Source organism: Homo sapiens, chromosome 1 (assembly GCF_000001405.40).
Source record: "Homo sapiens chromosome 1, GRCh38.p14 Primary Assembly".
Taxonomy (NCBI): domain Eukaryota; kingdom Metazoa; phylum Chordata; class Mammalia; order Primates; family Hominidae; genus Homo; species Homo sapiens.
In genome coordinates, this window is record NC_000001.11 from 75,757,417 (window position 1) to 75,774,341 (window position 16,925).

Genomic DNA, 16,925 nt, shown 5'->3' on the forward strand with positions numbered 1-16,925 from the left:
AAAGAAGACATTTATGCATCCAACAGACACATGAAAAAATGCTCATCATCACTGGCCATCAGAGAAATGCAAATCAAAACCACAATGAGATACCATCTCATATCATTTAGAATGGCAATCATTAAAAAGTCAGGAAACAACAGGTGCTGGAGAGGATGTGGAGAAATAGGAATACTTTTACACTGTTGGTGGGACTGTAAACTAGTTCAACCATTGTGGAAGACAGTGTGGCAATTTCTCAAGGATCTAGAACTAGAAATGCCATTTGACCCAGCAATCCCATTGCTGGGTATATACCCAAAGGATTATAAATCATGCTGCTATAAAGACTTCTATGACCAAAGATGTAGGAGGATTTCCCACCCACACCAAGCAACAGACACTAGCTGGGTATCCTCCAACTTAGTTCTGACACTACCTACCCAGAGATAGCATCAGATCCCACAGGCTTAGTCTCACAAGACTGCCCCTTCTTTTCCCCTAGTTGCAAGTCCTGGACTCCAGAACTTCTGGCTGACTGGCTTCAAGTTGGGGTTCCCATGACCTCATCTGTGAATTCCAGTAATTTGCTAAAGCAGCTCACAGAACTCAGGGAAACACATTTACCAGTTTATTAGGAAGGATATCTAATTTTTTTACTTTTTTTTTAATTATTATTTTTTTCATACAGAGTCTCCCTCTTGTTGCCCAGGCTGGAGTGTAATGGCGTAATCTTGGCTCACTGCAACCTCTGCCTCCTGGGTTCAATTGATTCTCCTCCCTCAGCCTCCCACATAGCTGGGATTACAGGCACCTGCCACCATGCCTGGCCTTTTTTTGTTTGTTTGTTTTTTAAGTAGAGACAGGGTTTCATCATGTTGGCCAGGCTGGTCTCAAACTCCTGACCTCAGGTGATCCACCCACCTTGGCGTCCCAAAGTGCTGGGATTACAGGTGTGAGCCACCACGCCCAGCCAGGAAGGATATTTTAAAGGATACAGATGAAGAGATGTGCAGGGTAAGGTATGAGGGAAGATGCATATGGCTTCCATGCTCTCCCTGGGAATCTCACCCTGTAGGAACCTCTGGAAGCTCTCCAAACCCTGTCCTCTTGAGAGGTGAAGCCAGCTGGACTTCCTGGGTCGAGTGGGGACTTGGAGGACTTGTCTGTCTAGCTAGATGATTGTAAACACACCAATCAGCACTCTGTAAAAATGCACTAATCAGCACTCTCTGTCTAGCTAAAGGATTGTAAACACACCAATCAGTGCTCTGTAAAAATGCACCAATCAGTGCTGTGTCTAGCTAAAGGATTGTAAACTCACCAATCAGCACTGTGTAAAAATGCACGAATCAGCGCTCTGTGTCTAGCTAAAGGATTGTAAATGCACCAGTCAGCACTCTGTAAAATGGACCAACCAGCACTCTGTAAAATGGACCAATCAGCAGGATATGGGTGGGGACAAATAAGGGAATAAAAACTGGCCACCCCAGCCTGCAGCGGCAACCTGCTTTGGTCCCTTTCCACGCTGTGGAAGCTTTGTTCTTTTGCTCTTCACAATAAATCTTGCTGCTGCTTACTCTTTGGGTCCACACCACCTTTAAGAGCTGTAACACTTGCCACGGAGGTCCGCGGCTTCATTCCTGAAGTCAGCAAGACCACGAACCCACTGGAAGGAAGAAACTCTGGACACATCTGAAGGAACAAACTCCAGACACACCATCTTTAAGAGCTGTAACACCGCGAAGGTCTGTGGCTTCATTCTTGAAGTCAGCAAGACCAAGAACCCACTGGAAGGAACCAACTCTGGACACACTCTTGGGTGTTCATGGAGGCTTCATTACATAGGCATGATTAATTAAACCATTGGTCATTGATGATTTAACTTGACTTGTAGCCCCTCTCCCCTCCCTGGAGGTTGTAGGGTTGGGGCTGAAACTCCCAACCCTCTAATCCTGCCATCGTCTTTCCAGTGACCAGCACCACGCTGAACCTAGCAGACAAAAGACAGCACGTTGGAGATCCCAAGGAATTTAGGAGTTGTATGCCAGGGAACAGGAACATATTTCCATCCTATAACATATCTTGGCCATATAACTAACTCATAGAGCACTTACTATCCCTTATTGAAAGTATTTGTTTTATGTCTTCTATTTAATTCTGAGCCTCTAGAGTCTAAGAAGCATCTTTTAGTTGTCCTTTCCTCTGTCTTGGTATCTGATACAGTGCCACATTATTTTTCTCTATCTGTAGCAACTTTCTTTTTTTTTTTTTTTTTTTTTTGAGACAGAGTTTTGCTTTTGTTGCCCAGGCTGGAGTGCAATGGTGTGATCTTGGCTCACCACAACCTCCACCTCCCAGGTTTAAGCGATTCTTCTGCCTCAGCCTCCTGAGTAGCTGGTATTACAAGCATGTGCCACCATGCCTGGCTAATTTTGTATTTTTAGTAGAGACGGGGTTTATCCATGTTGGTCAGGCTCGTCTCAAACTCCCAACCTCAGGTGATCTGCCCGCCTCGGCCTCTCAAAGTGCTGGGATTACAGGTGTAAGCCACTGTGCCCAGCCAGCAATTTCTTCTAGAAAGTCCCAGCAGAGGCTGGGTATGGTGAATCACACCTGTAATCCTAGCATTTTGGGAGGCCGAGGTGGGTGGATCCCTTGAGCCCAGGAGTTTGAGAACAGCCTGGAACAGCCTGGGCAACATAGGGAGGGACCTCATCTCTATTTAAAAAGAAAAAAAAGAGGCCGAGTGCGGTGGCTCACACCTGTAATCCTAGCACTTTGGGAGGCTGAGGCGGGTGGATCACCTGCGATCAGGAGTTTGAGCAGCCTGGCCAACATGGTGAAACCCTGTCTCTACTAAAAATACAAAAAAAAAAAAAAAAAAAGCCTGGTGTGGTGGCACACGCCCAGCTACTCGGGAGGCTGAGGCAGGAAAATCGCTTGAACCTGGGGGGCAGAGGTTGCAGTGAGCCGATAACGCACCACTTCACCCCAGCCTGGGCAAAAGAGTGAAACTTTGTCTCAGAAAAAAAAAAAGAAAAGTCCCAGCTACTTTGGGGGCTGAGGCGGGAGGGTCGTTGAGGCTGCAGTGATCTGAGATCATGCCATTGCATTCCAGCCTGGAAAACAAAGTGAGACCCTGTCTCAAAAAAAAAAAAAAAAAAAAAAAAAAAAAAAAAAAATCAGGCAAACTGAAATTGAAGGACATTTTACATAAAATAACCAATCAACATTCTTCAGAAGTGCAAAGACGTAAAAGATAAGGAAGGATTGAGGAATTATAATAGCCTGGGAAAGAATAAGAAGAAATAACTAAATTCAACGTATAATGGTGGAAAAAGAACATTAGTAGAAAACTTGACCAGATTTGAGTAAGGCTTATAGTTTAGTTGTTAATACTATACCAGTGTTAATGTCCTGTTCTCGATCATGGCACTATGGTTTGGTAATATGTTAACATTAGAGGAAGCTGGGTGTAACTTCTATAAACCTAAAATTCGTTAATGAAAAGTTTAAAAAATAAAAAGGTCAGGCACAGTGGCTCACGCCTGTAATCTCAGCACTTTGAGAGGCCTAAGTAGGAGGATTGCTTGAGGCCAGGAGTTGCAGACCAGCCTGGGCAACATAGCAAGACCCCGTCACTATAAAAATGAAAAAGCCCCAGGAAAAAACTTTTAAGTTTTCTCAATAAATATCCTTTAATTTTTTTCTTTTTAATTCTAGCACCAAGCAATATCATTTATGCTGGCTGAAATGGCAATGAAAGTTGAACTAGCTAGAATGAGTTACCAGAGAGCAGCTTGGGAGGTTGATTCTGGTCGTCGAAATACCTATTATGCTTCTATTGCAAAGGCATTTGCTGGAGATATTGCAAATCAGTTAGCTACTGATGCTGTGCAGATACTTGGAGGCAATGGATTTAATACAGAATATCCTGTAGAAAAACTAATGAGGGATGCCAAAATCTATCAGGTAAGGTTAAAGATGATTTTTTTGGTTTGCAAGGAGAGAGAATATTCATAAATGACAACGTGGATTTCTGATTATTTAGAAATTTTATGTCCCTAGTAGCAATAAATGACTGTCATATATGGCTGTGAGCCAGTTTTTGGAATTAATTAATAGAAAGAAGAATGTTATTTGTGATTAAGTATAAGTCTGAAGAGAGAATAGGCTAAAAAAAATGGTACAGACATGTGTATTACGTTTGGATTAGATTTCTTTGAGTTTTAACAGATTGGCTAATTGTAACCCAAACTTTTCTCTCCAAAAAGTATGCATGTCATTTAAAATTAATTATTTTGATTTGAATCTTGCCTGACAACTATTTAATTTATTGTAACTATACTTGGAGTCAAAAACCAACATCAGGAGACAGTGATGTAGATTAATTCCAAATTAAATTGGTAGTCAAAAAAACTTAGGAGGAATTCAGTAAAAGGAAATATAAATGTGCATGTTCTCTACATGTGGCTTAAGTAATTACTTAATAATTACCACATTCTTGCTCCTCAGTATCTCTTCCCTTGTTCCCCCTACACCTAGCAAATTATTTGACTCATCCAGTCATTGGAAATACTGAGTTCGAATCAAAATGCTGGAGTGAGAAGGAATGTTACACGTAGTGCAGCCTCTCCATGTAGACATGAAAAAACTGAGGTCCAGAATTTGTGCCTTATCCAAAGTCACAGGTTTATGTGGTGATACTCTTCCTCTCCTAGAGCCTTTAATTATAATTATTACTATTATTATCATCAACAGTTTAGCTTTTCTCTGCCATCTGAGAAGATGAACTAACGAATGGCTAAAGTTAGAAGTTTAGAATGGAAATAAGGTCTGACTCTTGAAATCCTTCCAGCATCTTTTTCTTTAGCAACTCTGTTCCACAGGCAGTGGGAGAAAAAAAAAAAATTAAGGGTAAGAATAAAAGACTGAAGGAGACAGCTAGCTAAGAACAGTTCAGAAAATTAGACAAATATTTTGGCCACATTAAACTTTAGTTTTCCCAAACTTTCTGAAATGTAAATATCTTTTCTTTTTTTATATTTTGAAGACTCTTCTCCAAAATTTTGATAAATGGCTTTTTATAATAACTTAACCAATCTTTAGAGAATTCCATATTTTCAGACTTTCACAAAATCAGGTTTTGGAATCTGTAGAGGCTACAGACCCTATATATGGTTTGATTCGGTTTTATATTACAACACAGCTTATGCTACTGTCTAAAATGTTGAATAAATCAAAGTATTTATGTACTAAAGATATTTAACCTACACTTATATTTTTCTTGCAGATTTATGAAGGTACTTCACAAATTCAAAGACTTATTGTAGCCCGTGAACACATTGACAAGTACAAAAATTAAAAAAATTACTGTAGAAATATTGAATAACTAGAACACAAGCCACTGTTTCAGCTCCAGAAAAAAGAAAGGGCTTTAACGTTTTTTCCAGTGAAAACAAATCCTCTTATATTAAATCTAAGCAACTGCTTATTATAGTAGTTTATACTTTTGCTTAACTCTGTTATGTCTCTTAAGCAGGTTTGGTTTTTATTAAAATGATGTGTTTTCTTTAGTACCACTTTACTTGAATTACATTAACCTAGAAAACTACATAGGTTATTTTGATCTCTTAAGATTAATGTAGCAGAAATTTCTTGGAATTTTATTTTTGTAATGACAGAAAAGTGGGCTTAGAAAGTATTCAAGATGTTACAAAATTTACATTTAGAAAATATTGTAGTATTTGAATACTGTCAACTTGACAGTAACTTTGTAGACTTAATGGTATTATTAAAGTTCTTTTTATTGCAGTTTGGAAAGCATTTGTGAAACTTTCTGTTTGGCACAGAAACAGTCAAAATTTTGACATTCATATTCTCCTATTTTACAGCTACAAGAACTTTCTTGAAAATCTTATTTAATTCTGAGCCCATATTTCACTTACCTTATTTAAAATAAATCAATAAAGCTTGCCTTAAATTATTTTTATATGACTGTTGGTCTCTAGGTAGCCTTTGGTCTATTGTACACAATCTCATTTCATATGTTTGCATTTTGGCAAAGAACTTAATAAAATTGTTCAGTGCTTATTATCATATCTTTCTGTATTTTTTCCAGGAAATTTCATTACTTCGTGTAATAGTGTATATTTCTTGTATTTACTATGATGAAAAAAGGTCGTTTTAATTTTGAATTGAATAAAGTTACCTGTTCATTTTTTATTAGATATTTTAAAGACTTCAGAAAATATAAATATGAAATAATTTAAGAACCCAAATCTCTGAATTTAATATTTCTTTGTAATTCTAAATATCGAATACTGCTAAACTGTGTTATACTAAATGGAGTGCTTTCTGACATCACATCTCATTCTCTAGTTCTTTGACATCAACTGTGTCCTACATTTTAATTCTGTTCTGACACTATGCAGCAGAGTTAGGGTCAACCCCATAAGGCTGCCCTCACTTCAGAGGCCAGTCACAAGTCCTGACTCCCCAAGCTACCCATACTCTGTCCAACATGGCTACAAATTCAGGTATTCCCATGACCCTGCCCTCAGGGTCGATAATTTGCCAGAATAGCTCACAGAACTCAGGAAAACACTTAACTTACATTTACCTGTTTATATCAGAAAGGGTACAACTAGGAACAATTAATGAAGAGGTGCATAGGGAAAGGTATGGAGGGAGAAGGGAGGTGCAGAGCTTCCATGCCTTCTTCCAGCATATTACCTTCCCTGCATGTCTCTGTATTCCTCAACGTGGAAGCTCCCCAGCTCAAATTCAATAGTTTCCATGGAGCTCAATCTCCAGTCCTCCACTCCTCCCCAGAGGACCAAGGTGAAAGCTGGAAGCTCCCAACTGTATTAGTCTCCTAGGGCTGTCATAAAAAATACACTGGAGACTTGGTAGCTTAAATAAATTTATTTTCTCACAGTTCTGGAAGCTAGAATTTCAAGATCAAGGTGCCATTTGGGTTGTTTCTAGTGAGGCCTCTCTTCCTGCCTTATAGACTGCCACCTTCTGTGTCCTTACATGTCCTCTTCTCTGTGCATCATGAAGGGTTGGGTTAGGGGGAGCTCTTGTGTCTTTTTCTCCTCTTCTAAGGACACTAGCCCTGTGAGATTAGAGTCCTATCCTCATGACCTTAATTAACTCCCTAAAAGATCCTATCTTCAAGTACAGTCACATTGGGAGTTAAGGCTTCAACATAGGAATTTTGGAGGGACACAACTCAGTCCATAACATCACCCTCTAATTACTTAGTCCTTCTGGTGACCAGATTCCTCCTGAGATTATCTAGGGGCCCCACCCTAAGTCATCTCATGCCAAATTCAGGTATGATTGAAAAGGTTTATAAGGAATAACAGAAGATAACTCCAAGAACTCAAGAAATTCCAAGGGTTTTAGGAGCTCTGTGCCAGGAACAAAGACCTGGGAACAAAGACCAAATAAATTTCTTATACCACATTAAATTACCAAAATAATCGAATTTCTTACAAATATAAAATATTTAAATGACATTTCCTTCATGCTCAATGATGAAATTTTATTTAAATGATACAACTTGAGATTGGTAAGGAGATTTAGAGAATTCTTAATTGGGTATTATGTAGAAATGAGAAGTTAAATAGAATGTATATATTTCAAATGCAAATTTGAATTTGCAGTACAGAGGCCCAACCATTTCTAAACATAAAGCTTCTAGACATGGGCTGGGCATGGTGGCTCGTGCCTATAATCCCAACACTTTGGGAGGTTCTGAGGTGGGAGGATCACTGAGGGCAGGAATTTGAGGCTTCAGTGAACTGTGATGGCACCATTTATACTCCATCCTGGGTGACAGAGTGAGACCCTAAAAAGAAAAAAAAGGTCCAGGCAAGGTGGCTCATGCCTGTAATCCCAGCACTTTGGGATGCCGAGGCGGGCAGATCACAAGGTCAGGAGTTTGAGACCAGCCTGGCCAACATAATGAAACCCGGTCTCTACTAAAAATACAAAAAATTAGCCGGGCGTGGTGGTGAGCACCTGTAATTCGAGCTACTTAGGAGGTGAGGCAGGAGAAACGCTTGAACCCGGGAGGCCGAGGTTGCAGTGAGCTGAGATTATGCCATTGCACTCCAGCCTGGGCAACAGGAGCGAAACTCCATCAAAAAAAAGGAAAGAGAGAAGGGAGGAAGGAAGGGAGGGAGGGAGGAAGGAAGGGAGGGAAAAGAAAAGGTTTCTATACCAGATATAAATGTACTCCAAAAGAAGGGAGGGAGGGAGGGAGGAAGGAAGGAAGGAAAGAGAAAAGAAAAGGTTTCTATACAAGATATAAATGTACTCCAAAGCCTTATGATGAGAATATTATAGAATCCTTGCTAATAAATATTAAGCACTTATGTAATTTTGCATCAGTTAAGCCTTTTTAGTCACAAGTAAATGAATTTAAGCTTCTTTAAGCAAATATGTATTTTAAGTATGTGGAAATGACTCATAGGTCTGAAAGGGAGGAATGAAGTCAGTCTCAGGAAGGGACTAAAACTAGAATAGTCAGTCCTCAGGAATCCATGAAATATATATAGTCTTTTGCTAACTCTCTACTTCTGTCATTTTATTCATTGTTGCTCTATAGTCTAACTTTCTCTGCTTCTTTGATCCCACAATAGAATCAGACTTCACGGTAGCATATTTATATTTTGGATTGACCACCACATTTATAAGCTTGCTGACTAGGGCCATTACAAGAAGGAGGGTAGGTACAGTCATGGACTACAAACATGACTATTAGTTGCCCCCATCAGTGAATTGATGGTTCCTAGAGAAAGCACAGTTTTACATGTGATCTAGTAGGTTTACCAGAATTTTAATGAATGTTTAAGGAATCTACCAGAGTCATCAATTTGCATAGAGGGAGAAGAATTATTCAGTGACTCCTCTGGATTAAAAAAAAAATGGTTGTTGATATGGCTTCTAGAATTACAGCCATTAATTTGAATATATTATCAAATAGTACAAAGGGTCTTTGGAGATTAAAGATTAAATTCCACAGGCAACAGTGTTTTTTCTTTTCTTAATATGTGAAAGACTGTATTTAACTCATTGGATGAGGGAACTAGTACAAAGTTAAAACTGGTATAAGGGAGAATTTAAAGAGCAGATAGAGGCAGTAATAAATGCTTAAAAGAATTTGCTAGGCTGGGCGTGGTGGCTCACGCCTGTAATTCCAGCACTTTGGGAGGCCAAGGCGGGCAGATCACCTGAGATGGGGAGTTCGAAACCAGCCTGACCAACATGGAGAAACCCTGTCTCTACTAAAAATACAAAATTAGCTAGGCATGGTGGCACATGCCTGCAATCCCAGCTACTCGGGAGGCTGAGGCAGGAGAATCACTTGAACCTGGGAGGCAGAGGTTGCAGTGAGCTGAGATCGTGCCATTGCACTCCAGCCTGGGCAACAAGAGTGAAACTCTGTCTAAAAAAAAAAAAAAAAAAAAGAATTTGCTAGTAGATTGACCATATCCTATAGGGCAGGGGTCCCCAACCCCCAGGCCACAAACCAGTAGCAGTCTCTGGGCCATTAGGAACTGTGCTGCACAGCAGGAGGTGTGTGTTGGGCGAGCAAGCATTACTGCCTGAGCTCCACCTCCTGTCAAATCAGTGGCAACATTAGATTCTCATAGGAGCACGAACCCTATTGTGAACTGCACACATGAGGGATCTAGGTTTCGTGCTCCTATGAGAATCTAATGCCTAATGATCTGAGAACATTTTTATCCCCAAACCATCTCCCCTTGCACCCCCCACTGTGTCTGTGGAAAAATTATCTTCCACAAAACCGGTCCCTGGTGCCAAAAAGGTTGGGGATCACTGGTATAGGGCAATAAACCTAATGGGACCATCTTTTCTACAGAGCAGAAATTAGTTGTAGTTAAGGTTCAGTTGCATTACTTTCCTTTTTTTTTTTTTTTTTTTTTACAATTTAACATCTACATTTACAATTGTATAACAGTCTGTCCAATAAAAAGACAATGGTACATATCCCATCAGATAATATGCAGAGGATCCATTAGATAGTACCTAGCACACCACTAAAGGGACGCCCAATAATTTATTGTATCCTTTTTCAAGGCTTTGACAGTGTTTCTTAACAGTCTCTTACTTTTCATCAAAAGGAATCTGCCACAAGTATTCCTGATCAGTAAAAAGCAAATTTCATTAGGTTTATGTGGATTATTTGCCTAGGTACAGCAAGAGTGTTCGTTAGTCATGTAGATCTCCTCAAATTTACTTTGCAAATCCAGAACCATACAGTACTGAACAAATTACTAAGGCCACAGGATTAACTTCTGTCTGAAATTTTTCATCAGAGACCTCAAATCGGACTTTTAAAAGCTTCTATAGCTTGACATCCCAAGGCTGGGGAATCAAATCCAAGAAACTCTCCACTAGATTTCTCCTGTAGTACCTAAGAGCTTGGGTGAATCTCTCTCCTTAACATCTTCAGAATTTGCTAGGGTTCCTGGCCTGCCGAGCATTGCTCTTCCTTACCACTTACAAACATTTAAGCCAGGCACTTTTCCAGTGTTATTGAGACAGCTTTGTAGGTATTGACTCTACATATAAAGTCAACTTGTTTTTAATAACGGGCTTCTCATAACTGATTAAATTAGAATTATTTTCAAAAAGGACACTCTAGGTATGGCCCTCATGACCTAATCAGTTATCCTGGTAAAAAGGAGGTCAGATTCCTTTTGAATACTGCTGTGAAATAAAAGGAAATTCAGCACATTCCTGAATTCTGAGGGCTTAGGATCACATGCCATTTAAAAATGTCAGAGCTGGGCCCTGTGGTTTATACCTGTAACCCCAGCACTTTGGGAGACTGAGGTGGGAGGATTGCTTAAGCCCAGGAGTTCAAGACTAGCCTGGGCAAGATGGTGAGACCTCATCTCTACAAAAAATTAGAAAATTAGCTAGGTGTGGAGATGCACATCTGTGGTCCCAGCTACACAGGGGGCTGAGTCAGGAAGATCCCTTGCGCCTAGGAGGCTGAGGCTGCAATGATCCATGTTCAAACCACTACACTCCAGCCTGGGTGACAGAGCAAGACCTTGTTGCAAAAAAAAAAAAAAGAAAATTTCAGTTTACAAAAGCGGAGTACACTAAATTGGAGTCAATAGCTTATGAAGAATTTTAAAGGGCTTCCTCATATACCATAAAAATAGAACACTACATCAACAATATTCCAATAAATAAATAACCATGATTAAACTTCTCTCATCAGTTCATTCAGTCCTGTGTAATTATGCTGCTGGAAATTGGGTTGGTGGACTGCTTTCATGAATCAGTCTGTTTCCAGAAGAGAGTCCTAGAAATGCAGACTCAGTTCACTGCTATGGCTTGAAAGTTGTCTAAGCTATGTCTGCTCAGAAGCCTGTACCCATGACTCTATTTTTTGAAGAATTTATCAGTAGTCCAAAGCACCTGGTTCTTTCCATGAGGCTCTAAGACTGCCCTTTCTTGAAAACACAAATTTGGCTTCTAGTTTATAGCAGAGCCCTTGAGCAAGCATCAGAGTAGCACAGAAACTCTGTGTACATGGCCAAAGCTAAATGGTGTTTGATAAGGTTTGGCTCTGTGTCCCCGCCCAAATCTCATCTTGAATTGTAATCCTGGGGGTGATTTCCCCCATGATAGTCTCATGATAGTGAGTTCCCACAAGATCTGACAGTTTTATAAGGGGCTCTTCCCCCTTCGCTTTCTTCTCTTTCCTGCCACCATGTGAAGAAGGTCTTGTTTCCCCTTCACCTTCCAACATCATTGAAAGTCTCCTGAGGCCTCCCCAGCCGTGGAACTGTGAGTCAATTAAGCCTCTTTCCTTTATAAATTACCCAGTCTCAGGTATTTCTTTATAGCTGTGTGAAAATGGACTAATACAGTGTTAATTTATTCAATATCAGAAAGAAAGAATACAATTCTTTGTTATAGCATAGCTGCTACATTTCTTTGAAGGGGGATCATTTTTATTTGAATAAATGTAATAGAATATTCAGTGAAAAGTAATCCTTTCTTAAAGGATTGGGTGGTAGACAGAATTTAAGAAAGGATTACTTTTCACTGAATACTTTTCTGTTAGGCAGCTGCTTTTTGAAATTCTGTGCATTCACAGATATATATTTTTTCCTTTGTTTCCCACATAAATAGCATACTATATGGTTTGTTGCTTTCTTTTTATGTCTGTTTTCACTTGGTATATTTTTAAGACCTTTCCATATGTGTAGAGCTTCTTCATTCTCTTTAATAGCTGTATAATGAATATACCATAGTTTATTTAACCTTTTGATGGTCAATTAACTTTGTTTGTTTGTTTGTTTGTTTGATTTTTGAGATGCAGTCTTGCTCTGTCACCCAGGCTGAAGTGCAGTGGTGTGATCTCGGATCTCAGCTCACTGCAACCTCTGCCTCCTGAGTTCACCCTATTCTCCTGTCTCAGCCTCTCGAGTAGCCGGGATTATAAGCATGTACCACCATGCCCAGCTAATTTTTGTATTTTTTTAGTAGATACGGGGTTTTGCCATGTTGGTCAGACTGGTCTCAAACTCCTGACCTCAGGTGATCTGCCTGCCTCAGCCTCCCAAAGTGCTGGGATTACAGGCATGAGCCACTGGGCCCGACCAATTAAAATTTTTTAAATCTTTTGCTATTACAAAGACTGCTCCTGTGGTTATTCTTGCACATAAGTCACTTCACAACCAAGGGGGTATATTCGTAGGATAAATACCTAGGAATAGAATTTTCAAATGTAGTTCAAGAATTGGGCTGGGGGCGGTGGCTCACATTTGTAATTCCAGCACTTTGGGAGGCTGAGGCGGGAGGATGGAGGATTGCTTGGACGCAGGAGTTTAAGACCAGCCTGGGCAACACAGGGAGACCCTGCTTCTTAAAAAAAAAAAAAAAATAGCTGGGCATGTTGAGGCACACCTTTGGTCCCAGCTACTCTGGAGACTGAGCTGAGAGGATGATCTCTTGAGCCCAGGAGGATGAGTCTGCAGTGAGTCCTGATCCCACTACTGCATTCCAGCCTGGAGAACAGAGTGAGACCCTGTCTCAAAAATAATAATAATAAAAATTAAAAATGAATTGTTAGAATATATACTTCCTACATATATTTCTATTTTGCTTACCACTGTACCCCCAGAACTTAGAATAATATTGGCGTATTCTAGGCATTCAATACATACTAGTTGAATGAATTTATACAGCAGGAAGTTAGGTTTGTTTTTCATTCCTTCGGTAGTTATTAACAATCTGAATAATGTTACTTTTTGGGTCTGATGCTTATATGATTCTTATTTCAAGCATTGCCTTTCCCAGGATATCAGATCAATCCCTGTCTCCCTCTGTTGTCCCCTCTACCACAACTCTCTCCCATCTGATTTACAGGCACCTTTTCCATAGCATACTAAGCTTGCCTTTGTCAGAGAATTTGTCACAGATTATTTACCAACTGTCTTTCCCACTAGGCTCCTTCAGGGCAGATGCATTTCTTAGAGGGCCAGCTACATAGCACATGCTTAATACTTACTGCTTATGTTTATGTAATGTAAATTCAGACGATTATCACTCTCTGGCTCTTGTCAGAGCAAATGCAAATGTTCTCCAGAGAAAAACACCTTCCAATTAGGCCTTAATATGAGCTGACAACCAAAAATCTTCAAAATAAATAAAGAACCAATCAGCATGAAAAAAAGTCAACTGAAAATTAAAAGTAACACATTTGGGACCTTGATATGGTTTGGATCTTTGTCCCTACCCAAATCTCATGTTCAACTGTAATCCCAGTGTTGGAGGTGGGGCCTGGTGGGAGGTGATTGGATCATGGGAATGGTTTCTAATGGTTTAACACCATCCCCCCGAACACTGTCCTTGTGATAATGAGTGAGTTTTCGCATGAGATCTGGTTGTTTAAAATTGTGTGGTGCTTCCACCCCACACCTTTTCCTCCTGCTCTGGCCATGTAAGACTTGCCTGCTTCCCCTTCACCTTCTGCCGTGATTGTAAGTTTTCTGAGGCCTCTCCAGCTGTGCTTCCTACATAGCTTGCCAAACCATGAGCCAATTAAACCTATTTTCTTTATCAGTTATCCAGTCTAAGGTATTTCTTTATATCAATGAGACAACAGACTAACACAGACCTCAAGACTCCAGATATTAGAATGATCAGATAAACAGTACAGTTGGCCATACTCTGTTTCCGTGGGTTCAGCATCTGTGGATTCAACCAACCTCAGATGAGAAATACTCAGGGGAAAAAAAAATTCCACAAAGTTCCAAAAAGCAAAACTTGAATTTGCCACATGCAAGTAGTACCTTGAATCCACACAAATAGAGTGATATGTAGGCATCTTATTAGATATTATAAGTAATCTAGAAATGATTTAAAGTATATGGGAGAATGTGCATAAGTTATATGCAAATACTATCCTGTTTTATACAAAGGACTTGAGCATCCTTGGAGTTTGGTATCTGCAGGGGTTCCTGGAACCAGTACCCCCTGCAGATACCAAGAGAAAACTGTATACAGTAACTCAACGTGAAAGATGTAAAGAAATTCGAAAAATCACACAATGGAAAACAATAGGAATCTATAAAAACAAAAAGGTAGATCTGAAAAATAATCAAATGGAATCTGAAATAGTATTTCTCAAGTTTTAACATGCATAGGAATCCTTGGGGAGCTTACCAAAATGCAGAATGCGATTTGGTAGGTCTAGGATGTGACTCAGACTCTGCCTTTATAATAGCTCTCAGAGTGATTTTGATGCTGCTAGCCCATGGATTTTAAGTAGGAAAAGAATACTAGCTTATAGATAGGAATAAATTATCCAGGATGCATCACAGGAAGACAAAAAGGTGAAAAATACAAGAGGTTAAGAAATGAGAAGGATGCAACAACAAAGTGTAACATGTCAGTCAGGTTCAGTGGCTCACTCCTGTAATCCCATCACTTTGGGAGGCTGAGGCAGGCAGATGACTTGAGGTCAGGAGTTCGAGACCAGCCTGGCCAACATGGTGAAACCCTGTCTCTACTGAAAATACCAAAAAATTAGCCAGGCGTGGTGGTGCATGCCTGTAATCCCAGCTATTCAGGAGGCTGAGGCAGGAGAATCACTTGAACACATGAGGTGGAGGTTGCAGTGAGCCGAGATCGCACCACTGCACTCCAGCCTGGGCGACAGAGAGACTCCATCTCAAAAAAAAAAAAAAAAAAAAAAAAAAAGGAAGTCTAACGTGTCAACTAAAGTCCCAGAAAGGGAGAATGTTAAAAGAGAGAAGGCCCACTCTACATTTGCAGGACCTGGAGCAAACTCGCAAGTGCACACCCACATACCATATAAGATACATTTAACAGTTAAAAGTTAATACCCAAGCTAATCCACAGTTAAATAAAATATGCTCTGGGTGGGGCATGGTGGCTCACATCTGTAATCCCAACACTTTGGGAGGCCAAGGTGGGTGGATTGCTTGAGGCTAGGAATTCGAAAACAGCCCGGGCAACATACTGAGATCCCCTGTCTCTACAAAACAAACACACACGCAAATTAGCCAGGCATGGTGGCACATACCTGTAGTCCTAGCTACTTGGGAGGCTGAGGTGGGAGGATCACTTGAGCCTGTGAGGTAGAGGCTGCAGTGAGCTGTGATCGCACCACTGCACTCCAGCTTTGGAAACAGAGCAAGACCCTGTTTAAAAAAAAAAAAAAAGGGCTGGGTGCAGTGGCTCATGCCTGTAATCGCAGCAGGTTGGGAGGCCAAGGTGGGCATATCACAAGGTCAGGAGTTCGAGACCAACCTGGCCAACATGGTGAAACCCTGTCTCTACTAAAAATACGAAAATACAAAAATTAGCCAGGCGTGGTGGCAGGCACCTGTAGTCCCAGCTACTCAGGAGGCTGAGGCAAGAGAATCACTTGAACCTGGGAGGGGGAAGTTGCAGTGAACCGAGATAGTGCCATTGCACTCCAGCCTGGGCAACAAGAGCAAGACTCTGTCTCAAAAAAAAAAAAAAAAAAAAAAGAAGAAGAAAAAAAATGTTCTGGCAAGGCACAGTGACTCAGGCCTGTAATTCCAGCACTTTGGGAGGCCAAGAAGAGAGGATTGCTTGCATCTAGGAGTTCAAGATCAGCCTGGGCAACATAGTAAAACCCCATGTCTACAAAAAATAAAAAATTAGCTGGACATGCTGGCATGCACCTGTATTCTCAGCTACTTAGGGGGCTGAGGTGGGAGGATCACTTGAGCCCAAAAGGTCCAGGCTGCATTGAGTGGTGATTGTGCCATTGTACTCAGCCTGGGGACAGAGTGAGACCCTGTCTCAAAAGTCTATCTATCTGTCTATCTATCTATCTCTATATTCTGTCCTCCAGTTTTCATAATTATACCTTGATGACAACCCAGAATGCCAGGTTCAAATTTAGCCAGCTTGAACTTCTTAGAGTCATGTGCTAGAAAATTACAGATTAGGAAAAGATATCTCTTGGCCTGTTCCTTTCCTTATACCACTTCAGGGTCTTGCATCACAGTGCATTTTGTACCTATGCTTGTGGACATCCTAACCTAGACATCCAAGCTCCCTTCATACCCTGCTTACATCAATGCCTGGGCAACTCCTTGGGACATGTGGTGCACATACCAGCAAATGATCTGCCCTTTAAGGGAAGGACCCAGGGAAGATACCCAAGTCGAATTTGGAAGGGGTGTATGGGGCCATTTGGGTAGAAAAAGGCAGGGAGGGTGACCTGAAATACCATCTAATGGTGGCGAGGCTGATTCTGGGTGGGCATGTCCACTTGATTCCAGGGACTCCTTGCTGCATGTAAAGGTATGTGGCTATAGGAGGACCAGAGCAGGACCTGCCCTCTAAACATGGGCCACCAATCCACCTTACCTGTGTCT

General features: G+C 40.7%; 1 protein-coding gene across 5 annotated transcripts in view, besides 1 other annotated feature; it reads left to right on the forward strand.

The window, feature by feature from the left end:
- Nucleotides 1-6,263, forward strand: part of ACADM (acyl-CoA dehydrogenase medium chain) — a 38,971-nt gene extending 32,708 nt beyond the window's left edge. For all 5 annotated transcript variants that reach the window (NM_001127328.3, NM_001286043.2, NM_000016.6 and 2 more), the window contains 2 exons: nucleotides 3,706-3,954; nucleotides 5,276-6,263. In NM_001127328.3, the coding sequence (NP_001120800.1) occupies nucleotides 3,706-3,954; nucleotides 5,276-5,347 (321 nt within the window). In that variant the 3' untranslated portion in view covers nucleotides 5,348-6,263. The remainder of the gene's footprint in view (nucleotides 1-3,705; nucleotides 3,955-5,275) is intronic.
- Nucleotides 6,951-7,010: an enhancer, noted in NCBI's record as "active region_1206". NCBI's record gives its function as "activates an Ori minimal core promoter by ATAC-STARR-seq in GM12878 lymphoblastoid cells {active_cell/tissue: GM12878}" and the evidence as "EXISTENCE:reporter gene assay evidence [ECO:0000049][PMID:35858748]".